General features: G+C 48.1%; 2 protein-coding genes and 1 non-coding gene across 8 annotated transcripts in view, besides 1 other annotated feature; 2 read left to right on the top strand and 1 right to left on the bottom strand.

Moving 5' to 3' along the window:
* NCAPD3 (non-SMC condensin II complex subunit D3) overlaps window positions 1-20,887 on the top strand; it is a 75,349-nt gene extending 54,462 nt beyond the window's left edge. For 3 of the 5 annotated variants that reach the window (NM_001372070.1, NM_001372069.1, NM_015261.3), the window contains 11 exons: window positions 1,946-2,083; window positions 2,398-2,531; window positions 2,805-3,004; window positions 9,109-9,219; window positions 10,926-11,108; window positions 12,505-12,671; window positions 12,933-13,072; window positions 13,905-13,982; window positions 17,637-17,711; window positions 17,800-17,860; window positions 17,948-20,887. In NM_001372070.1, the coding sequence (NP_001358999.1) occupies window positions 1,946-2,083; window positions 2,398-2,531; window positions 2,805-3,004; window positions 9,109-9,219; window positions 10,926-11,108; window positions 12,505-12,671; window positions 12,933-13,072; window positions 13,905-13,982; window positions 17,637-17,711; window positions 17,800-17,860; window positions 17,948-18,056 (1,396 nt within the window). In that variant the 3' untranslated portion in view covers window positions 18,057-20,887. The remainder of the gene's footprint in view (window positions 1-1,945; window positions 2,084-2,397; window positions 2,532-2,804; window positions 3,005-9,108; window positions 9,220-10,925; window positions 11,109-12,504; window positions 12,672-12,932; window positions 13,073-13,904; window positions 13,983-17,636; window positions 17,712-17,799; window positions 17,861-17,947) is intronic. The other 2 variants (NM_001372068.1, NM_001372065.1) reach the window with 2 other exon arrangements.
* Window positions 12,749-13,250: an enhancer, noted in NCBI's record as "H3K4me1 hESC enhancer chr11:134027645-134028146 (GRCh37/hg19 assembly coordinates)". NCBI's record gives its function as "activates a minimal SCP1, AML or CMV promoter by ChIP-STARR-seq in primed H9 embryonic stem cells {active_cell/tissue: H9 hESC(primed)}" and the evidence as "EXISTENCE:reporter gene assay evidence [ECO:0000049][PMID:30033119]".
* Window positions 18,999-23,582, bottom strand: part of JAM3 (junctional adhesion molecule 3) — an 82,930-nt gene continuing 78,346 nt past the window's right edge. For both annotated transcript variants that reach the window (NM_032801.5, NM_001205329.2), the window contains 3 exons: window positions 22,324-22,453; window positions 22,182-22,236; window positions 18,999-21,854 (listed from right to left, as the gene is read on the bottom strand). In NM_032801.5, the coding sequence (NP_116190.3) occupies window positions 21,819-21,854; window positions 22,182-22,236; window positions 22,324-22,453 (221 nt within the window). In that variant the 3' untranslated portion in view covers window positions 18,999-21,818. The remainder of the gene's footprint in view (window positions 21,855-22,181; window positions 22,237-22,323; window positions 22,454-23,582) is intronic.
* SNORD153 (small nucleolar RNA, C/D box 153) lies at window positions 19,637-19,712 on the top strand. Its single transcript, NR_145790.1, has one exon. It is a non-coding gene; the product is annotated as a small nucleolar RNA, C/D box 153 (small nucleolar RNA).

The raw sequence follows: 23,582 nt of genomic DNA, 5'->3' as shown, positions 1-23,582 counted from the left end.
AGCAGACAAACAAGAAACAAAATAGTCCCTCTTCTCCAATTAGGAAGCTTGCAGGATTTGTGCATCTTAATCTAATCAAGGCTGAAACTTGCCCTCTTAATAAAGTCCCAGTGAATACAGCAGCCAAGATGAGTTGTGGATATCACACATTGGCTGTGGCTTCCAGTTTCTCTTGCTAGAAAGCTCTGTGACTACATTTTCAGCCCTCAGCGTGTGAATCCTGGCATGGTTTTATGTTGCTATGGAATTTATTTGTATAGATGGTTCAGCAAGTTTTTCACTAGGGCTTAAACTCCGCAGTATCTTGTCTGTTGGTCACCTCCACCCATGTGTATTCTTGACCTAAACTGAGTCGATTGGCATTGACATAAGTCCAAACTCAGAGGGAACCCTCTTCTTGTGGAAGATTTGCTGATTCTATCTGGCTTTACATTTTCGTATATGTGACTTCATTTCTGAGGAGAAAGTTCACATAATGTGGAAACTGCCATGCCATAGTAGATTAACTATAATAAAATACCACAGAAGATAAATCCTTGTTTGTTTAGTGGTTTTTTTCATTCTTGTCACAGATGGTTTACCAAAGTAACCCTTGTTTAGAAATAACTTCATCTGATGCTGTGACCTTTGCCTTTCAAACATGGGTCATTAAACAACATAATTTGTACAAAGTAACTGACTACTCTTAGATCAGACAGGTGCTTCTGGTTGTCCTTAAGTGAATTTTGTCTCAAGGAATTCTCGTTATTGAATAGAGTTTTATTTATTTTGTTTTCATATTTCTAGGTCAAGCTGCTCCCGTATTTCCTAGGTGAATAGTCAAGGTGTAATTATCTACAGTGGAATTTTTATCTGGGCTTACTTCCATCATGATTTCTCATCTACCTTCTCTGATTTTTAATTGATATGTGTGCTGTGAACACAAACTGATTTGAATTTTGGCATAAGGAGCACCACTGGGGAAAGGAGAAGTCAGTCTCCTACACAGTCCCAATGCCCTCCAGAGCCAGTGTCTGCTGTTTGGACAGTCTTTGACACTGCTCCTCTCCCAAGGAGAGCTGACTGGTGCTCCTGTGTGGGTGGAAATTGCATTTGAGCTCTGATATTAAATTAAAACACTGGTCTTGACAGTGTGAATGTATCACAGTGAGTCCTGCACCATGTTAGTTTGACCCCTGAGCAAAAATCAGTGCTTTGGCACTCTGTCACCTACTATCGTGATGAACAGAAACTCTGTGGTGGCCTGTAGTCAAACAGTTTGCCTGTTTACATCTGGCATTGAAAATCTTCATTTTGGTAGGGTCCTGGTGGCATCTGTGTCCCATGTGCAGCATTGCACAGATATGTTGAGGGCATGGGTGGAAGGAGAGTGCCCAGGGCTTGCTGGTGATTCCAAAGCGCATTGAGTCAGTTGCTTTGCAGAGGGAACTTGTCCTCCTGATCCAAACTGTGAAGCTCTTGTCATTAATCCTTATTCTTGAAAAAAGTTCCAGTTACTAAAATTGGTTTTTGTTCATAATTGTGGGCAACAAACTTGAAGTTGGGAGGTGAAGGCCAGATATCCCTTTTCTGGTGACTGTTGTCATTGCATCAGTCTTATAAGACCACTGGCCTCTGATTGCAGAAGCAGCTTTGGGGTTCAGTTGGTCGATTACTTTCCCCACTTGAACTGCAGCTGGATGACAACACCTTGTGTCAATTTTGAAAGGAAACCTGGTGGAAAAAATATACTTACCTTGGATTAGAAAGGAAGCTGTGGAGCAAGGACAGACCAAATAGCTGAATTTCTGTCTTCTTTGGATCCGAGGGAACTGTTTATTGGGATAGATTTTGAATCCCTACGCTTATGTACAGCTCTCCTCTGCTCAGCAGAGTTCTTGGTGTATTCAGAGACTGTTGGTACATAGCAAATGGGTCTCCCTCTTTGTTTCTCTCACCTTTGCAGCTTCGGGGAGTTTTGCCTGGCTCACCTGTTACTGAAGAGGAACCCTGTCATGTTCTTCCAACACTTCATTGAATGTATTTTTCACTTTAATAACTATGAGAAGCATGAGAAGTACAACAAGTTCCCCCAGTCAGAGAGGTCAGTGAAGCAGCTAAGTCTGGTCTCCTTGTATCTGGGTAAGAGCTGGGGGAATCAGGGGAGGTTAGGCTCTTTGCATGTAGTGATTGGACGCAGACCCTGCCCCAGGTCTTTACTGTGGCTTGGCAGGATGGCGTAAGAAAATACAGTCGTGAGAATCGCTTCCTAAGGGCAGCGCCTGTGATGAGCACTGGGATCTCTGTAGTGCACTGGAGTCTTTGGCATGCAGCTTTTAGGATGCAGTTAAAGTGCAGTGTTAAATCCCTTACACCCGTGCCCATGTGATGCAGTGAACTTGTCCCGTTCTGCCACAGAGAGAAGCGGCTGTTTTCATTGAAGGGAAAGTCAAACAAAGAGAGACGAATGAAAATCTACAAATTTCTTCTAGAGCACTTCACAGATGAACAGCGATTCAACATCACTTCCAAAATCTGCCTTAGTATTTTGGGTAAGCCCAGTGTGTGTGGGAGAAAATGTGTGTGTTTGCAAATGAAATGCTGTGTTGATAATGGCCCAGCAGGCCTCTAGTAAGGGAGACCCTGGCACTGCAGGAAGACCCCTGTCATCTTGTCCTTCTCTGGCATCAGCTGTGCCCCAGACAAAACACCCTTGCAGACCCCCTGACAGCCTCAGATGGCCCCCCAGTTGTGGGAATTACACCTCCTCTCTGGGCCAGAGCATTTCTCAGAAGCTCACGTTTTTCTCTCTCTCTGTCTCTCAGCGTGCTTTGCTGATGGCATCCTACCCCTGGACCTGGACGCCAGTGAGTTACTCTCAGACACGTTTGAGGTCCTCAGCTCAAAGGAGATCAAGCTTTTGGCAATGAGATCTAAACCAGACAAAGACCTCCTTATGGAAGAAGATGACATGGCCTTGGCAAATGTAGTCATGCAGGAAGCTCAGAAGAAGCTCATCTCACAAGTGAGTGTGTTGCTCCCCTAAGATCATCTTCTCACAAGTGAGTGTGCTGCTCCCCTAAGCTCATCTCACGAGTGTGCACCTCCCCCAAGCTCATCTCACAAGTGAGTGTGCACCTCCCCCAAGCTCATCTCACGAGTGTGCTGCTCCCCCAAGCTCATCTCACAAGTGAGTGTGCTGCTCCCCTAAGCTCATCTCACGAGTGTGCACCTCCCCCAAGCTCATCTCACAAGTGAGTGTGCTGCTCTCCCTAAGCTCATCTCACGAGTGTGCGCCTCCCCCAAGCTCACCTCACTAGTGAGTGTGCCCCTCCCCCAAGCTCATCTCACAAGTGAGTGTGCTGCTCCCCCAAGCTCATCTCACTAGTGTGCCCCTCCCCCAAGCTCATCTCACTAGTGAGTGTGCCCCTCCCCCAAGCTCATCTCACTAGTGAGTGTGCAGCTCCCCCGAGCTCATCTCACTAGTGAGTGTGCAGCTCCCCTGAGCTCATCTCACGAGTGTGCGCCTCCCCCAAGCTCATCTCACAAGTGAGTGTGCGCCTCCCCTAAGCTCCTCTCACGAGTGTGCGCCTCCCCCAAGCTCATCTCACAAGTGAGTGTGCAGCTCCCCTAAGCTCCTCTCACGAGTGTGCGCCTCCCCCAAGCTCATCTCACGAGTGTGCGCCTCCCCCAGGCTCATTTCACAAGTGAGTGTGCTGCTCCCCCAAGCTCATCTCACAAGTGAGTGTGCTGCTCCCCTAAGCTCATCTCACGAGTGTGCGCCTCCCCCAAGCTCATCTCACGAGTGTGCTGCTCTCCCTAAGCTCATCTCACGAGTGTGCGCCTCCCCCAAGCTCACCTCACTAGTGAGTGTGCCCCTCCCCCAAGCTCATCTCACAAGTGAGTGTGCAGCTCCCCCAAGCTCATCTCACTAGTGAGTGTGCAGCTCCCCCAAGCTCATCTCACTAGTGAGTGTGCAGCTCCCCCAAGCTCATCTCACTAGTGAGTGTGCAGCTCCCCTAAGCTCATCTCACTAGTGAGTGTGCAGCTCCCCTAAGCTCATCTCACTAGTGAGTGTGCAGCTCCCCTAAGCTCATCTCACGAGTGTGCGCCTCCCCCAAGCTCATCTCACAAGTGAGTGTGCGCCTCCCCTAAGCTCCTCTCATGAGTGTGCGCCTCCCCCAAGCTCATCTCACAAGTGAGTGTGCAGCTCCCCTAAGCTCCTCTCACGAGTGTGCGCCTCCCCCAAGCTCATCTCACGAGTGTGCGCCTCCCCCAAGCTCATCTCACAAGTGAGTGTGCTGCTCTCCCTAAGCTCATCTCACTCAGTGTGCCCCTCCCCCAAGCTCATCTCACAAGTGAGTGTGCTGCTCCCCCAAGCTCATCTCACTAGTGAGTGTGCCTCTCCAAGCTCATCTCACTAGTGAGTGTGCAGCTCCCCTAAGCTCATCTCACGAGTGTGCGCCTCCCCCAAGCTCATCTCACAAGTGAGTGTGCTGCTCTCCCTAAGCTCATCTCACTGTGCCCCTCCCCCAAGCTCATCTCACAAGTGAGTGTGCTGCTCCCCCAAGCTCATCTCACTAGTGAGTGTGCCCCTCCCCCAAGCTCATCTCACTAGTGAGTGTGCCCCTCCCCCAAGCTCATCTCACAAGTGAGTGTGCTGCTCCCCCAAGCTCATCTCACTAGTGAGTGTGCCTCTCCAAGCTCATCTCACTAGTGAGTGTGCAGCTCCCCTAAGCTCATCTCACGAGTGTGCGCCTCCCCCAAGCTCATCTCACAAGTGAGTGTGCTGCTCTCCCTAAGCTCATCTCACTGTGCCCCTCCCCCAAGCTCATCTCACAAGTGAGTGTGCTGCTCCCCCAAGCTCATCTCACTAGTGAGTGTGCCCCTCCCCCAAGCTCATCTCACTAGTGAGTGTGCCCCTCCCCCAAGCTCATCTCACAAGTGAGTGTGCTGCTCCCCCAAGCTCATCTCACTAGTGAGTGTGCGCCTCCCCCAAGCTCATCTCACAAGTGAGTGTGCTGCTCTCCCTAAGCTCATCTCACTGAGTGTGCCCCTCCCCCAAGCTCATCTCACAAGTGAGTGTGCTGCTCCCCCAAGCTCATCTCACTAGTGAGTGTGCCCCTCCCCCAAGCTCATCTCACTAGTGAGTGTGCAGCTCCCCTAAGCTCATCTCACGAGTGTGCGCCTCCCCCAAGCTCATCTCACAAGTGAGTGTGCATCTCCCCTAAGCTCCTCTCACGAGTGTGTACCTCCCCCAAGCTCATCTCACAAGTGAGTGTGCAGCTCCCCTAAGCTCATCTCACGAGTGTGCGCCTCCCCCAAGCTCATCTCACAAATGAGTATGCTGCTCCCCTGAGCTCATCTCACGAGTGTGGGCCTCCCCTAAGCTCATCTCACGAGTGTGCGCCTCCCCCAAGCTCATCTCACTAGTGTGCCCCTCCCCCAAGCTCATCTCACAAGTGAGTGTGCTGCTCCCCTAAGCTCATCTCACAAGTGAGTGTGCTGCTCCCGTAAGCTCATCTCACAAGTGTGCCACTCCCCCAAGCTCATCTCATGAGTGTGCCACTCCCCTAAGCTCATCTCACGAGTGTGCTTCTTCCCCTAAGCTCATCTCAGAAGTGTGCCCCTTCCCCGAAGCTTATCTCACGAGTGCGCCCTTCCCAAGCTCATGAGTGTGCCCCTCCACTTAAGCTCATGTCACAAGTGAGTGTGCAGCTTCCCTAAGTTCATCTCACAAGCGAGTGTGCAGCTCCCCCTCAGCTTATCTCACAAGTGAGCGTGCTGCTCCCCTAAGCTCATCTCACAAGTGTGCCGCTCCCCCAAGCTCATCTCACAAGTGTGCAGCTCCTCCTCAGCTCATCTCACAAGTGAGTGTGCTGCTCCCCTAAGCTCATCTCACAAGTGAGTGTGCAGCTCCCGCAAGCTCATTTCACAAGTGAGTGTGCCGCTCCCCCTCAGCTAATCTAAGTGTGTGCAGCTCCTCTAAGCTCATCTCACAAGTGGGTGTGCAGCTTCCCTAAGTTTGTGTCACAAGTGAGCATGCCACTCCCCTAAGCTTATGTCACAAGTGAGTGTGCCCCTCCCCCTAAGCTCATCTCACAAGTGAGTGTGCAGCTCCCCCTAAGCTCATGTCACAAGTGAGTATGTAGCTCCCTCAAGCTCATGTCACACGTGAGTGTTCAGCTCCCCTAAGGTCATTTCATGAGTGTGAAGTTCCCCTAAGTTCATTTCACGAGTGTGCAGCTCCCCCAAGCTCATGTCACAAGTGAGTGTGAAGCTCCCTAAACTCATGTCGCAAGTGAGTGTACAGCTCCCCTAAGCTTATTTTACAAGTGAGTGTGCAGCTCCCCCAAGCTCATGTCACAAGTGATTATGCGGCTCCCTCAAGCTCATGTCACAAGTGAGTGTGCAGCTCCCCTAAGCTCATGTCACAAGTGAGTGTGCAGCTCCCCTAAGCTCATTTCACAAGTGAGTGTCCCACTCTTCTCACCATCTACTGGCTTCCGTGTTCTCCCTGGAATCCTGGTGCCATGCTCTGGTGCTGACTTCTTTCTTACTGATGGCTTTAACTCTTGCCAGATGGTGACAATTCTCAAACCTGTTTCCCACTCCAGCATTTCTCATGAGCCTGAGCTCAGGTCCCCCTGCTGCCAGGACGTGCTCCGGGTGTCTCTGACTTACTCTGTCAAAACTCCCTCAGTCATCTCTTCTTTCTGCTCTTCATCTCCTCTTTCTCCCACAGTTTATGGTGCTCTTGCAGACTGGAGTCTGGTGTGTCAGGCTGAGGCTTTTGTTGGCAGGAAGTGTAGAATTTGGATCTGAATGACTGGGGCAGAGCTTGGCTGCCACAGGCCTCTGCAGGCCTGTGTTTTCCTCCTAGCCTGGATTGCCAATGTGTATTTCCCACCTGGCCTCTGGAGGCTTTTGACTCCAAGGATATAGACTCTGATCATATCTTGCCACAAGATCCTGCCTGTTTTCTCTTACCAATCTATCTCTCTAGTTCTGACCTTATTTAAGCTTATCCCATTTCCATGGTTTCCTTACCACCCTTTCTGTTTCTGGTTTCTTTCTGTCACAGGCCATGTACCACCTTGCTGCCAGAGCAGTCTTTCTTTCTTTTTCTTTTTTTTTTTTTTTTTTTTTGAGACAGAATCTCACTGCGTCGCCCAGGCTGGAGTGCAGTGGCGCGATCTCAGCTCACTGCAAGCTCCGCCTCCCAGGTTCACGCCATTCTCCTGCCTCAGCCTCCCGAGTAGCTGGGACTACAGGCCCCTGCCACTGTGCCTGGCTAACTTTTTTTTTTTTTTTTTTTTTGAGACACAGTATCACACTGTTGCCCAGGCTGGAGTGCAGTGGTACGATCTCTGCTCAGTGCAAGCTCTGCCCCCCTGGGTTCATGCCATTCTCCTGCCTCAGCCTCCCTAGTAGCTGGGACTACAGGCACCAGCCACCACGGCCGGCTAGTTTTTTTGTATTTTTAGTAGAGATGGGGTTTCACAGTGTTTGCCAGGATGGTCTCAATCTCCTGATCTCGTGATCTGCCCGCCTCGGCCTTCCAAAGTGCTGGGATTACAGGCATGAGCCACCACACCCAGCCCAGCAGTCTTTCTTAAGTACAAATTTGATCATTTTATTATATCTGAAACAGACTAAAGGCAGGTTGACTGTGAGGGGTGGCAGGAAGCTTTTGGGTGATAGATGGTGAGTGGTCTGTAGTGCTGGTTATTCCATATAGACTTTTGTCAAAGCTCATGGAAGTGTTTGTTTAAAATGGGTAAATTTATTACATATGTTATACTTCACTAGTGAAATCTTTAAAAACTATGCTGGTGGCTTCCTGTCATCTTCTGAATAAACCCTGATTCTTCTTTTTCAAGGTAAACAAGAACTTCTGGTGTGCCTTCCACCTTTCCCATACCTCCCTCCATCCTCACCTCTAACCTCTCCACTTCAAATTGCCATCTGCACCTCAGTTGCGAGCTGCCCCCTACTCGTGTGCTCTTGCCTCTGGGTCTAAAGTCTGCAGCGCCCTCACCCACCCATCCTCCCTTCTCCACACATCCTCAGGATCATCCATCAGATGGCCATGCACTCCTTAGGCATCCCATCTCCATACCTAAATTCCCTAACACCCTGCCACTTAACACCTCTTCCCTTGAGACACACACTTTCTAGAAGTGGCTGGAGGGCAGGGATGCTTAGCTTCATTTTGCATCCTCAGAGGGTTAGCTCTTTGCCTGGACAGAGAAGGTGCTTGATAATACTTGTCAAGTGAATGCATGGAAGCCACTTCTTAAGACTATTCCTGAACATAACATCTGCTCACATCTGGGTTTATTAAATTGCTTATTTCTCTACTTGTTGTCCTTCTGTTTCAGGAACTCTGATAAGACTTTTTAGAAATGAGTAGTTTACAAGGAAGAAACATACACTAGTGACTTTAAATGAGAAGGAAAAGAGTAGTTTCAGCTTCAGGAGGATAAATCTTGCATATGTGGGCTACTATAGTGCTTTTTTTTTAATTTAAAGAGATTCACTGGAGAATATTTGTGGTTAGTGATCATTCAAGGTAAAGTGTGAAGACTTGGTCAAATCAGGTACTATATATATAAATTCATAGTATTTTGTAGATGTGTACACAGAGAGAGAGACAGAGCTGGCTGTCTTCATGCTTAGCCATTTTTAGACCATTGTCCCTTCACCAGCAGGAATACGAAGTGTCCCTCTGGGTAGCCAGAACGAGCTGACTTCTGTTCCAAGGGGAGGGTGTTGAATTGAGGACTGAAGGTGGAGCAAGAGCCAAGGTCCCTCAGGGTCTTCTGTGGAGATTTGGGGCTTTTGTCAAAAGCTACTCAACATGTTTCTAATTCTTTTTCCCCATTTAGAATATATGAGTAGTATTTGTCCCCACCCTATCTTACAAAGCCTTCAGAGTGTTTTGAGGTAATGCTTACAAAGTCTCCCAGAGAAAAGCAGAGGTCCTCTACATCCAGTATCATAATGAAAAGCAAAAATAAACTTACATAGTGTGGTAGGGTGGCTCTACTCAAAGAACTAGATCAAGGAGAGGCCTGTCTTTCAGAAGTTCATACATCTAAAACATGTCTTTGTTTGTGTTACCAGGTTCAGAAGAGGAATTTCATAGAAAATATTATTCCAATTATCATCTCCCTGAAGACTGTGCTGGAGAAAAATAAGATCCCAGCTTTGCGGGAACTCATGCACTATCTCAGGGTAAGGGTGGAGCCTGTGCTTTTGTGGTTGTTGTCCTACCAGTTCATTACTTAGGATCTTCTGCCAGTTATGACAGTGCAGGCAATCCGTGAATGATTAGAACCCCAAATTCTGCAAACCCAACATTACCTTGGTAACTGCTGTGGAGCTAGGGGTTGGCTGTGGGTTCCACCAAAGCCGCTCTTTCCCTTGGATGTGCAGCCAGGGCCGTGAAGAGCCGGCCCACTGTGCCAAGCACGTCTTCCCTTAATGGAGTTCAAGTCCATCTGGAAAACTTTCCCAGCTGGGGTCAAGAACACAGTCATCTTCGTTCATGCTGCTTGGGGGTAAGGTGAAAGTGAGTCTTCGGGTTTGATTTCAGGGTGCTTACCTTTTGCACTGACTCAGATTCACAAGGTCAGGAAATAACTGCCCTGCAGGAGCTGCCTTCGGAGCTGCCATCACCAGGCTGAATTCTTTGTCAAGCAAGGGGACCATGAGGAGCTCAGTCGGAGCAAACCCAGGATGTGTTGACTTGCAGGGCGGACCTAAGTGGGGCCTCAGACCTTTCTTGCAAAATCTTTTACTAAGAAATAAATGCAACATAGTTTTTCTTTAATTCAGCAGTTATAGCTCTGTTCACATTATGTGTTTTTCTTCCTCAAAAAAATGCTACAATTTTTTTTCCAATAAAGGCCTCAACAAAAATTACATTGAATATAAATTTTCAAATAGCTTTTTATACTAGGAAGCCAAGGTAGGAAAGATAGTCTCATTGTATGATAAAAATAAAAACTTCCAAATATTCTTGTATTTATTGCCTGACTTTAGACCCTAGAAAGGAAAAAAAAAAACAAAAACAGAGCTTTGATCCTACATAGACTACTTAAACACTTAAGAAAAATAAGCCTTCCTCCTGCTTGTGAGCACACACACAGGATGGCCACACGTTGCTTGTTGTCAGTAGCTTGAGGGAGTCTCTTCATTGGCCTGTGGAACCCACTCCTAGTGGCAGCTGGAAAAGTGCATGGATTCCTTCTCTTTGTTGAGACTTCCCTCCCAGTTGGAACTGCAGTGTCTTTTTCTCCCTATTACTGTTAGGTGGAATGATTCTTTCTCTTAGCAAAGTGGTCTTGCCCCTGGCACCCCTCTTTAAGACCTAAGAATGTTTTTCCCTAGGTATGAGAAAAGGTTTTCTGTAAAATCTTCAGAAGAAGACACAAAGATGGGATTTGAGCCTTAGTTGGAATCCCCTGAGAGCCAATGGGGAGGCTAATGTAGACAGATGAGCAGCTTTTAGATCCATGCATCCTGGGACTTGCTCCAGAGGCTGTGTCTGAGCATGTCTTTCTCCCATTGGGAACCTGGGAGAGATTGCCCATTAACTGCCACATAGCCAGGATGCTTCCTAAGAGAGAGAACTGTTAGTTACTCACATATTTTTCTGCTTGTGTGGCCAGTGGTGTTTGCTCCAAATATACCATTGTACCTGTTAGTTACTGGAATGGAAATCATCTGCTTTCAGTAATGTCAGTCCTATTGTTCCTATGATTTATCAAGCAACATGACTTGGGGGGCTTTTTTCTTTCTTAACTTTTATTTTGCGTTCAGGGGTACACGTGCAGGATGTGCAGGTTTGTTACACAGGCGAAGGTGTGTCGTGGGGGTTTAGGGCTTTACGTTTTTATTCAAGAAAACATGAAAGGATGCTCCTGGCTCTGTTTCAGGAGGTGATGCAGGATTACCGAGATGAGCTCAAGGACTTCTTTGCAGTTGACAAACAGCTGGCATCAGAGCTTGAGTATGACATGAAGAAGTACCAGGAACAGCTGGTCCAGGAGCAGGAGCTAGCAAAACATGCAGATGTGGCCGGGACGGCTGGAGGTGCTGAGGTGGCACCTGTGGCACAGGTAGGTGTGGGGCCCACTGCACTGTGACCAGACAGTCCAGTCTGCTGTCTGCTACCAGTCTGTCGTTTGTCTGGCACCTCTCAAGATCTCCGTCATCAGAGGTTAGTCAGCCCGAAGGCCTCGAGAGTGCTGCTTGTTGGCCACTCCCTCGTGCCTTTCTGTCTGTGATGGATTTACTGTGCTCCAGACCTCCCTTCCATGAGGACGTGGTGCAGGAAGCGAGCTGGCAGCAGCAGTAGCTGGTGACTATAGATCCTAGGTCTGCCAGGGTGTGTCAGTGTGTCCGCATCTTCCCCCAGCACTCCCTCTTTAGAGCAGACCGGCACACGGCCATTTCTAGGAGTAGCTGTTGCTCACCGTCCTGAGGAATGCAGGCAGATCTCTTGTAGGAAAGACCAATGAGCACAAAGTAGCATACTCCTTTTTCTCTTCTGTCATGCCACAGCATCTACAAGTGGCAGCTTTCTCATAGTATTCTGTTTCTGAAAAGGAAATTCAACTTACCCAGGGTTGATATGGCTTCAAAGTACATTACTTATGGACTTGCTCATAGTACGTGAAGATTCTATTCCAATAAAGTGTTAAAATGGAGAAAGGGAATGGCTTGTACACTGTTGGTAGGGATGGAAAGTAGAACAGCCACTATGGAGAACAGTATAGAGGTTCCAAAAAACTAAAAGTAGAGGTACCATATGAGGCAGCAGCCTCGCTGCTGACTGTATAGTCAAAAGAAAGGAAATCAGGATGTCGAAGACATACCTGCACTCCCATGTTTATTGCAGCACTGTTCACAATAGCAAAATTTGGAAACAAATGTCCATCAGTGGATGAATGGTAAAGAAAATGGGGTGCATATACAGTGGAGTACTTTTCATCTATAAAAAGTGAAATCTTGTCATCTGTTGCAACATGGATGAACTTGGAAGACATTATATTAAGTGAAATAAGCCAAACACAGAAAGACAAAGATTGTATGTTCTCATTCATATATGTGAGCCAAAAAGGTTGATCTCACGGAGTTAGAGAGTGGATTTTTGGTGATTACCAGAGGCTGGGAAGGGGTGGGAGAAGGGGGATGAAGAGAAGTTGGTTAATGGGTACCAAAATACAGTTAGATAGAAGAAATAAGTTCTAGTATTCAGTACAGTGGAGATATTACAGTTTAACAATTTACTGTATATTTCAAAGTACATAGAAGAATTGGAATGTTCCCAACACAAAGAAAAGATACTCACGTTTGAGGTGATGGAGATGCCAATTACCCTGATTTGATCATTACGTTGTCCACATGTATCAAAATCTCATATGGACCCCCAACCATGTACAACTATCATATATCCGTTTTTGAAAACTTAAAAAGTATTAGAATGTACATACTCTTTATCTTCTCTACCAGGTTGCCCTGTGTTTAGAAACAGTGCCAGTTCCTGCTGGCCAAGAAAACCCTGCCATGTCACCTGCCGTGAGCCAGCCCTGCACACCCAGGGCAAGTGCTGGCCATGTAGCAGTATCATCTCCTACACCTGAAACAGGGCCATTGCAGAGGTTGCTGCCCAAAGCCAGGTAAAGAGCCCCTGGAGGCCACATCAGGGCTGGTTCTCTGTGGCGATGTTCTCAGAGGCGTCCCTGCCATTCCCAAGCGTGGGCAGGAAAGTCATTGTCATTGTCTGGCCTGCCACCCCGCTCCACACTGTGCCCTGGGAGGTTTGAATGAGGGTGGTGAGGGATGCGCCGGTGAGGAGGCACGCGGGGACACAGTGCAGCACTGTCACCTCTGCAGTGGTCTGCAGTGAGAAAGTCAGCGGCTGTGGCTGTTCTCCACAGGCCCATGTCCCTGAGCACCATTGCAATCCTGAATTCTGTCAAGAAAGCCGTGGAGTCAAAGAGCAGGCATCGGAGTCGGAGCTTAGGAGTGCTGCCTTTCACTTTAAATTCTGGAAGCCCAGAAAAAACGTGCAGTCAGGGTAAGCCTTATGTTTGGTGCCAGACACAGTAGAGCATTTACAGATGAAAACACAGAACAAGCTACTTCTTATTCCTTTCAAAGCGGTGTGTTTTCTTATCTTTAAAACAAATAACGTTAATTGGGCTTTTAGGATCATGGGTAGTAAAACAATGCATATTTATTCTAGGAGATTTGGAAAATAGAGTGAAATATGAAACTCACCCATAGCAGTGAGGCATTCCTTCCTCCAGCTATTCTGTTCCTCTTACACACACGTGTTTTGTTTTGTTTATGGAATTGTGATCTGTGCGTGCATTGTTTTATGACCTGTTTCCCTGCATTCTTAAGTCAGATGTAGTAGATGTAGTAGACAGCTTCCATGAACTTTTCTTTCCAACCTTTGCTTTCAGTGGCTTTATAGCATTGTGGCTGTGGAAATAACTGATTTATTACTATCCTGTTCTTTGAAATGTTGATTTTCAATTTTTCCATACAAATACTATCACAGTAAACATCCTTGTACATATAGCCTTGTATGTATGTAATCCTTGGGATTAATTCCCAGCAGTCAAAGGCCATGGATATTTAAAAACTTTGGATAGTGTCAAACTGTCCTCTATCACTTATGCCAAGTTAGACTCTTTTATTTTTTTGAATCCTAATGAGAATGGACATTTTTTCTCATGTTTATCATTTATTTGTATTTCTTCCTGAATTGCCTCTTTATAAGAAAATTGTAAACACTAGTGATTTTGACTTTACGTCTTGCAGATATGTTTTCTCATGTGGTTGTTTTGCTCTTCGTTATTGTTTGGGGGTATTTCTGGATAGCAGCACCTTTTCTGTTCTAGTGTCTTCATACAGTTTGGAGCAAGAGTCGAATGGCGAGATTGAGCACGTGACCAAGCGGGCCATCAGCACCCCCGAGAGTGAGTAACTGATCGGAACACGTGGGCTTCTCCTCAGTCTCTCCTGCATTCGTGATGTGTTTGCTAGAGTCGCAGTAAAACTCCTTCCGGTGCAGGATAGTTCTGATGGTCAGAACCATGAGTGCATTGCTGAGGTGGAGTATTTCACAGTGACCACGGTCGCTTGATCCATGAGCACTGACCGAGTATGTTGTTCCAGTGTCGTTACATTCAGTCAGTCAAACACCACAGTGGCCCGCGGAGCAGACAATGCCGTTGAGGCACAGGTAGGTTGGGTGACTGACCCAGTGGTGCCTTCTGGAGGCGGCCCTCCGTGTCTCTGGGCTGTCCGGGTGCACTGGGCGCTGCTGGGTGGGCCTGCTCCCAGGGCGGGCAGACGTCAGCACCAGCAGGTACCATGCACGCTCTGCAACTGCCAAGACCAGAGACCCGGGGACCCCTGCTCGGAGCCTGTGTCTCATTCCCCTCCATGTTTTTTCCTACTGTTTGTGCTTTTCCTTTGATTTCAAAACAGAGGTGAGTTAGGAGAGTTGAGTATTCTTTTCCTATTATCTTGTGTGATAGCTTCATATTGTGTCAAACCTCATAAAAACCATTATTTTGAGAAAACTCTTACAGGAAGAAGAAATGCTTCCTGTCCTAAATCTGTGGAGTAGTGGCTAGGCCCTGCCGCCGTGTCCCTGTGTGCCCCTCGCTCTGCGCCCGGCTGTGCACAGTGCCCTCAGCAAGCTGCATCCAGCCCCGCTCGTCCCTGGCCATTCCACTCCTCACTGTTTCCACAGACCACAGTGCCTGGAACCTGGGAGGTGTCAGAGATCTCCTCCCGGAGACTTCTGGGAGGGCAGAGCTGGGCGCTGAGCCCAGGCCTTCTGGTCCCAACTCTTGTGCCCCTTCTCCAGCCTGTCTCCTAGTCCTGACTGCAGGGGAAGATGAGAGCGTGCTAAGGTGCTCTTCCTGGTAACAGAGCAGCAAGGTGTCCTGCCGTTCGTTTAGTCACTGCTTCAGTCAGCTCATGTGTGTGGAGCACCTGCTGTATTCTAGCTACTTGCTTGTTTGGTTCTGTCACACTGATGCTGTGATCTCTTAGAATAGTTAACAGGTTAGAGGTAATTTTCATCCAGGTCCCCCTTTGAAGGGAGTTTATCCCACCCCCACCCTCAGACGACAACCGAATCATGACGGCATTTGTCATTAAAGGCAGTGGGTAATTTGGGATCCTGCGTCGTGGACAGGTGCGATGTTCTGTGTGTTAGAGCTTGCTGTGTGTTCGATGTTCCTGGCTCAGGAGTGCCAAGAGCTTCTATTTTGGCAGTGAGGTGCCATATGCTGAAGAAACGGGGAGAACGCATCTCATTTTCGTTGTGCTCATCCTGAGTCCCTGATGTCAGTGTTGGGTTGTTTCCTAGCAGCTCGTGTTTCTCCACAGGGCAGCCTGGCGTGGAGGGTTCATGCCGCCCTCATCTGCCTGTGTGGAGCCACGCTTTGTGCTGGAAATCAGGCGCCCGGTGTCATTGAGTTGGTAGAGTACTTGTTCTTGCTCCAGGCTCTTGGACATAATATTCCTGCTGATGCAGTCTCTGTCCGTCTCTCTTTATACTGAACCAGGAAGAAATGCCTGGAGGTCTCCCCTTCCTGGGAGAACTGTTAGATAGTTTAAAAGCACTCAGTTCTGTTTTCTCTGTGGTTTATACGTCCAGATTCTTTTTGGCAACTTTTAGTTTAGGTGGGGGAGACTGTCAGGAAGTGTCTCAGCTCTTCAAAGCTGGCAGGAAAGATGCCACCCAGTTCAGCACCAATTCACAGTGGCTTTGCTAAATGGAAATGAAAATTAGTCAATTTTCAGAGCGAGGATTTTAACTGAAAATCTGTGGGGGTTTTAGCAAGTCCCTGTTACTGTTACCATTCGGGTGGCACAGACGCTGCTGCCTTCGATTCTACGCACAGTGCATGGGGGACGTCAGAGCCCCCGCACCCGGGCTTCTGTAAAGATGGGAGACTAATTTCCTGGAGTGCATATGGGCTTCCAAACAGGAAGAGCAGTGTGTGTGTCAGGAAGGGAATTTCATGTGACAGCACAAGGAGAGACTTCACCGAAACAGAATAAGCAGATCTAGCAGTGATGAGGAATTCTCTACCATCGTCTATTAGTGACACTCAAGTAGCCATCGGGTACACAGCTGCAGTGCGCTGATGAGCTTTGAACTGTAAATGGGAAGACACAGTCCATACTCAAGACACCAAGTGGAGAACGGGGAGCGCTCTGAAGCTGCCTCCTCGCATGTGCTTGCAGAAGGGCAGCAGGTTCAGTGGTACCAGCAAGCAGCTGCCCAGCCCGTGCTGTTCCCGGGAGTGTGCTGGTGGCAGCTTATGCACTGGGTACAGCACCACCCAGGAGGGGCGAGGCTGCACCACCCAGGAGGGGCGAGGCTGCACCACCCAGGAGGGGCGAGGCTGCACCACCCAGGAGGGGTGAGGCTGCACCACCCGGGCCTCCAAGACAGGGTGGCATGTGTAGGCAGATGGGGCGGTGGGGGGGGGGGTGCAGAGAAGCATAATGTGCAGACAGGGCCTGCTGAGGAAGAGGACGCAGGAGGGTGGACGTGTTTGTGCACGCGTGCACCTGAGCCTAACAGGTGAGTCTGTAAAGGCAGCTTGGGACCAGCTGAGACTGAGGGTGGACTTCAGGCTCTCCTAGGAACACAGCGATTGAGGTGTCTTGAAGCAGGGCAGTAAATTTACCAGCTTCTTGATGAAACATAACTCCAGTGATGCAGGGATGATACTGCTAATAAATGACAGTGGCTGCTAACATCTCTTGAGCACTGCCCTTGCAGCCAGCACGATGCTAAGCACTCAACGTGGATAACCTCATGTAGTCCTGGCAGCCCCCCAATGAGGTAGCTATGTTTTTATACCCACTTAAGAGATGAAGAAACCTGAGGGTCTCAGAGCAGCTCACACAGCTGGTGAGACACTGAGCCAGAATTCACACCCAAGCTGCGGTGGAATCTGCTCAACTGTGTTCTCCTGTTCCTGAGGGCAAACTGGAGGGGGTTCATTGCGGGTAGGTGCCATGAACAATCAAGGGCGAGGGGGGAGGTGGACTGAGCCGCTCCCAGTGTGGCACGACGGGACAGGATGAGGCGGCGACTGGAGGTAGAAGGGACAGGACTTGGCTGCTGATTCCATGTGGAGGAGCTGCTCACGGTGCCATATTTCCAGCGCGCATGCTCCAGTCACTGGCTGGAAACCAGCAGGCACGCGTGGAGGTGCAGAGGCAAGGAGTTGAAGTGTCCTCAGGGAATCTGGGTGAGCCACAGTAGGAGGTGTAGTAAGTGGGACAGGGCGGTCACCGGGACAGGGGCAATGATGGAAGACGGCGGGAGGGAAGCCAGAGGCGTGAACAGTGAGGCCCAGGGGCCAGCCGAGTGCCTGAGGGCTGCGGGTCAGAGAAGGGGGTCAGAGAGACGGAAAGGAGCATCCCCAGGAGGGGCCCTCAACACTGCCAGGCCCTGGGACAGGGTCCAGTGGAGGTCTGAGGGCCGCCGCTGGGACACTGATGTGGACACCCTGCCTACGTCCCACGGACAACTAGAACAGAGACCTCCGATAGACCACGCGGCTTTCACTCAGTGGTGTCTCCTCTTTATGCAGAGAGCATCAGTGATGTCACGTTTGGAGCAGGGGTCAGTTACATCGGGACACCACGGACTCCGTCGTCAGCCAAAGGCAAGTTCTTGGTGTCCTTCTGGGCTGATAGATGCACTGCCTTTGAGGTTCTGGGAAAGCTGAATGTGTTTGTTTGACTCCCTTTTAGAGAAAATTGAAGGCCGGAGTCAAGGAAATGACATCTTATGTTTATCACTGCCTGATAAACCGTAAGTTTAGCAGTGTTCCTTTTGAGGTGGATGTTTCTGTCAGGGTTTTTCTGAGTTCCAGAATGACTGCACATGTCCTTTCCCTAGGCCCCCACAGCCTCAGCAGTGGAATGTGCGGTCTCCCGCCAGGAATAAAGACACTCCAGCCTGCAGCAGGAGGTCCCTCCGAAAGACCCCTCTGAAAACAGCCAACTAAACAGCGCCTCCCACCAGTGTCCAGGCAGGCAGGAGCCCTTGAGGAAGCAGTCTCGTGTCCTCCGTGTGAAGGCAGCTGGATCACTTCCCGCAGTCCTTGGGCAGCGCTTTGCTGTGGAACACGAGAGCTCCTCCTCAGGGGCCTGGCACTCACCTTCTATTCTGTATGATGTATTTGGTTAAACACTGTCAAATAATAGAGATGTGCCAGATTTAGATTTTCTTACCCTAATCTGTTTAATATTGTAACTTTATTCCATTTGAAAGTGTCAAGCCCATTCAGATAAGCTATAATCTGGTCTTTAAGGAACACAACTTTAAAACTGCAGCTTTCTTTTATATAAATCAAGCCTCTGTTAACTTGAATTCCTTATAGTACATATTTTCCCATCTGTAATGACGAAATTTTGATTCTAATATTTTTTCTATTATTTATAAGTGCAAATTTTTTAAAAAAGTGTACAGCTTTCTAAAAGTAATAAAGGTTTAGCATAAATACAGCCTTCCAGTAGTCAATAGGATTTTTCTGTTTTTAGAACAGAGCTCTTATTGGTAATCATTTTAATTTTACATAAAGCATGTTTGTTTGTTAGAGGAATGAAACCAAATCTTCCCTATTAGAAAAAAGATGATTGTCTTGAAGGGCAGTTCATCTGTGCCCAGGCAGAGGCGGTGTGCTTTCCCTAACAGACATGAACAGCATCCCTTCTTGGGAAAAAATGGCTTTGCAGCCTTCCCCAGAGCAGCACTGCCGATTTGTGCAGCCCTCTGTTAAGGGCTGCTCCCATGATGGGGGAACAGCTTGAGTCTCTTCTGTTAGCACTAGTGGGTAAACTGAATGCTATTTTTGTTCAACAATATCCAGAAAGAAATGCAGTTGGTTTGTTTTTTAATCCCAGTATTACAAAAGCAAAAGTACAAAGTGATGATGTGCGTTGGTTGGTTTGGGGGATGGGATGCCACTGAGATCTGCCCACTGCCATCCCAAGTGGGAACCGCAACACAGGTGGGCTCGGTGGCGGAGAGGCGCAGCACTGCTCTTGAGCACACAGGCTGACCTCCTGCCCAGCACTGACTTCCCTGGTGGATGGGTGATTGATAGCATTTTTAGTGTGCATGCCTAACCACTGAAATGCTAGGAAGAAGAGACAAACCCAACGTAAGAGCAAATAACAAAGAATGAAGCAATGTTTGGGTTTTTTTGAAGCTTTTATAAATGAGGTTAAACAAATGCCAAATTACGGTGTGTTAGTACAAGTCTGTAGCATCTGTGTACAGCAACATCCATCCAAAGGCAGAATCACAGCCTCGTATCGGCCTCGAGTCTTGAGTCACATTCATATCTTAAAATACACGAGTATTCCTTTTCCGTCTAGTCTCAGTTATAGGCAGCTACTTCCCAGACTCTACTTTCACTTCTCTCTACTTTTTCAGACCTGGTTCCCATGGCACTAGTGTAGAAGGTTTTAGGGTATAAGAAGAGGGGGCAATAAGGCTACCCTATCACTATGACAACCAAGAAGGAGGCTGGAGCGTGAATCCCCAACGCTGAGGGTGGGGAGCCATCCCTCTCTACCAAGGTGGCAATGATGGAGGGAACTTGCATGCTAAGCATCCAGGATGCCATGCAGCAGACACCAGGGAGCACTGAGCCACTGCTGGAGCATTTCCTGCCTCTGCCAGGCGGCCTGCGGCAAAGTGTTTCACATAACTAAAAAAAGTCAACACAGTCTCATGTATGCAATTAAAAAAAAGCTGTCAAAGTATAAAAAACCCAAGACACTGGAAGCTGAAAGACAAGGTGAGTAGTGAGAGCCATTCTCCAGGCACACAGTGGAGTGCTCCTTCTCAGCAGCTCCTTGCTTTACAGCACTTCAGTCCTGAGTCCAGCACGGCAGGGCATGTGAGGCTGAGAACACCTGCTCTTGAAGAACACAGGCTTCTGAGTGATGTTGCTAATGTCCCCCCACAAATGGGAGCAGTGTCTCCGGCGGATGAAAAATTTAAAGTCAAAATTAGAAAACTGCTTTTGATTCAGGCGTTTCACTTTCCTCCCCGCCAGGCCTTTCACCTGGCTGCTCCACCTGACGTTCTTTAAAAGGCTGGACTGGCCGCCACTCCATCATGGTTTGTTTTGAAATGCGACAGAGCCTGTGGCGTCTGGGTGCTTTCTCTGTGGCAAAGAGGAACAGTGGGATCCATTTTCTTTTAAAAATGTTATTGTACTTGACAGACTTGATTTCGCAATTGCCTTTGGCCTTAGACAATCTTAACAAATAATTAAACAAACTTAAAAAAAAAAAATAGCATTGGGGGCCCTATTTTGTGAGCCATCCATAACCAAAAAGAGGTCTGTTACAGGAGCCCAAAGCTGGGACGCTACATGGAAGACACCAGTGTCCCTGCAGTGCCCACCTGAGAGCTGTGCTGGATGAAGCAAGGGCCACGTGAGTAAAGCTCACTGGGACACAGCCACTGCCAGGGCCCAAGGATGGCAGGGCCTCCTGGCAGACAGCGAGGCAACAGTGAGCTAGAGCGGGGGCGCCTGGCGCAACCCCAGGAGCTGACTGGCATCTGTGTATGTACATCTGAGGGCTTCTGGGTGGCCTCTGGGTACAGACTGTCCTAGTCATCTCAGGAAGAGGCAGTTCAAAGCTAACCTGAGAGGTTTCTTTTGAAGAGATGCAAACTGATTTCAACATTGCTTAACTGGAATTTTTAAAGGTTTCCTAAGCAACTATGGTCTGATGTGTAGACAGTATGAGTTCCCTTGTGAAAAAGGCTAAAACTTGTGTGAGAAAAGGAACATCACAGTAAACTTCCATGAGAGGATTCCTTGGGTAAAATACTCTTAATTATTGATATTTTCCAATTTAACACTAGTAGCTTGGAACTTCTACCTTAAGTTGAACTTTTTTAAAAAAATAGGTTATTTAACATTGTATGACAATATATTTACAGTTTAAATAGAAATTTTCTTTTCAATAATCAAAATACATCCTTAGCAAAAATTTAGATGTAAAATTTTATAAAATAAACAAGACCCATAGAAAAGCATATTTCAGTACCATTTCAGACTTAGCCTAAGACGAAGGTTTTCCTTAAATCCTGACACCCTGTTGGACAAGCAGGGTTCCTCAGGCAAGATCCCTCTTCCAGCAACCAATTTACCTTCCTGATTTTGGTTGTTTTTACAAAATGCTGATCCAAAAAGCTTCTCCACAATGGACACTGCAACACCGATCAGCAGAGCCTTTAAGAAGAAACTGCGGTGGTGTCTGTGGGCCGATGAAGTAAGGCTGCTGTGTAAGAAGCCTTTTCTGGGTTCCCGCCGGGATGCGCTGCTGGTGCTGTCCAGCCACCTCGCCATCTCACATGGTGCTGTCGTGGCTGCTGAACGACCAGTGGTGAACATGCTGGCTTCACAGGGCCCAGCACGGGCGTTTACGTGAGCAAACTCTTTAAGATCACCCTAATACTCATGCGGGAATCAGGCCAGAAACAGATTAGGAACCCAACTCAGTGAACGCACCCAGTTTCGCTTCCTTGTGGTTATATTTACCGGGTCCATCTTGAGGAAAATTCTTCTATTCATGTGGCTTGTTAGAGTAAGAAGAGTAGTGGTCAACTTTGGCCAAAACGAAAAGCTTCTGAATGAGTGTCTAGCTCTGTCCGAGTGCATCAGCTCTCGCTGCCTTGACAGGAGTTTCTAGCAGAGGTATGTGCACGTGCGCTCTGTGCGCTCTCAGCCACACCGCGGGTCTCAGATCACAAACGATGACTTGTGTCTGAAGTCGCCCTGCAAAGCCAACACACAGTTAGAGCCATCAAGGGGCCTGGTGGCAAGCAGGGAAAAACACGGAGTAAGTCTAACATGGGCTAAATACAGATGGAATAATCATTCTTAAAAAGTACCATCACTAGCGCTTGCAAAGCACAAATCCCATTAGTGTGTGTGTGTGTGTGTGTGTGTGTGTGTGTGTGTGTGTTACTGTGAAGGGGCTGAGGAGCTCAGGAGCTGCACAATCACTCAGAAATCTTCCCAGGAGACCCGTGTGGTTTCCAAGGGGGAATGTTGTTTTCCCTGCTGGGTACACCTAGGTTTCCAGGTTTACTAAATGATTACCTCCTCGTCAGTGCGGATGTAGTTAACTCCATCTGGTTTCCCTGGGTTCTTGTAACTATGAGGAGAAGAGAGCAGTTTAGCAACAGGGTTGTTATATTATTGCCAGCTTGAACTTCCCTTTTTTCACATAAGGCAGGCTCACCTTTCTCCATCCTGTTTATTGTTGATGAAGTAGCCACGTCTGTATGCACAGCAGATGCCCAACGTGATCAGGGCCAGTACAGCAAGGACAACCAGAACCCCCCCAATAATTCCGCCAATGTTCAGGTCATCTGAAGAAAAGGAGGTTTGGTGGAAGCCATGATACACACTATCTGTTATTTAAAAAGGCCCTGGCCCTGCTGTGCCTCCTTCCTTCACCCCAAACCCACTTGCCCCCTGCCCCCTCAGGCCTACCCCAGCTAGAAGAGAGAACACTTACAATCCTTCTAGCCTAGAACATATAGGACACCATAACTCCTAACTTCACACGTGAAAAGTACTGAGACTTCTACAGTTGAAATGCAGTCGCACTGAAAAGTGTATTAAAGTGGGCTTGGCACTGTAGGCTTAAAAATCCTCTGGCTGAATGCCTGAGATTACTTATGGAGGAAATGGTTATGAGGACAAGATTAGGAGCCAGGATCCCAAGAAGAAAAGAATCCCTAATTTCCAGGGCCTCCCTTTGTTGCAGATTGCTGCGGGGAAGAAAGGTAGCTTCAAGCCTTAAAGAATCTGTCTCAAAAAACAAACAAGTAAAGAATCCTAGGTAAGAACTAGAGCTTTGTCTCTGCCGGCTGCCTGACCTCCGATCTATAAGCCCTCTGAGAGGAAACCCCCTGGAACCCTTTTCTCATGTCTATACACTGGGCAAAGGCACTGGGTCACTTTCATATGGGGCTCTGGCAGCCGTTCCTTCAAGCAAGCGACACATGGAAAACTATGCAGGGAATTTATCAACAAGAGCCAAGTAACTTGGAAGTTTTAAAAAAATCTCCTTTATCCTAGTGTATTGGTTCTCAAAGATGAATGTACACTTAAAAATCAACTTGCAGGCCGGGCGCGGTGGCTCACGCCTGTAATCCCAGCACTTTGGGAGGCCGAGGTGGGCAGATCACGAGGTCAGAGATTCGAGACCATCCTGGCTAAGGTGGTGAAACCCCGTCTCTACTAGAAACACAAAAAATTGGCTGAGCGTGTTGGCAGGTGCCTGTAGTCCCAGCTACTCAGGAGGCTGAGGCAGGAGAAAGGTGTGAACCCGGGAGGCGGAGCTTGCAGTGAGCCGAGATTGTGCCACTGCACTCCAGCCTGGGTGACAGAGCGAGACTCCATCTCAAAAACAAAAAGTAAACTTGCAATCGTTTTTTTTTTTTTTTTTTTGAGACAGAGTCTTGCTCCGTCACCGTCACCCAGGCTGGAGTT

This window comes from Homo sapiens, chromosome 11, assembly GCF_000001405.40.
Source record: "Homo sapiens chromosome 11, GRCh38.p14 Primary Assembly".
Classification (NCBI taxonomy): Eukaryota; Metazoa; Chordata; class Mammalia; order Primates; family Hominidae; genus Homo; species Homo sapiens.
This window is presented reverse-complemented; position numbering and strand designations above follow the sequence as displayed.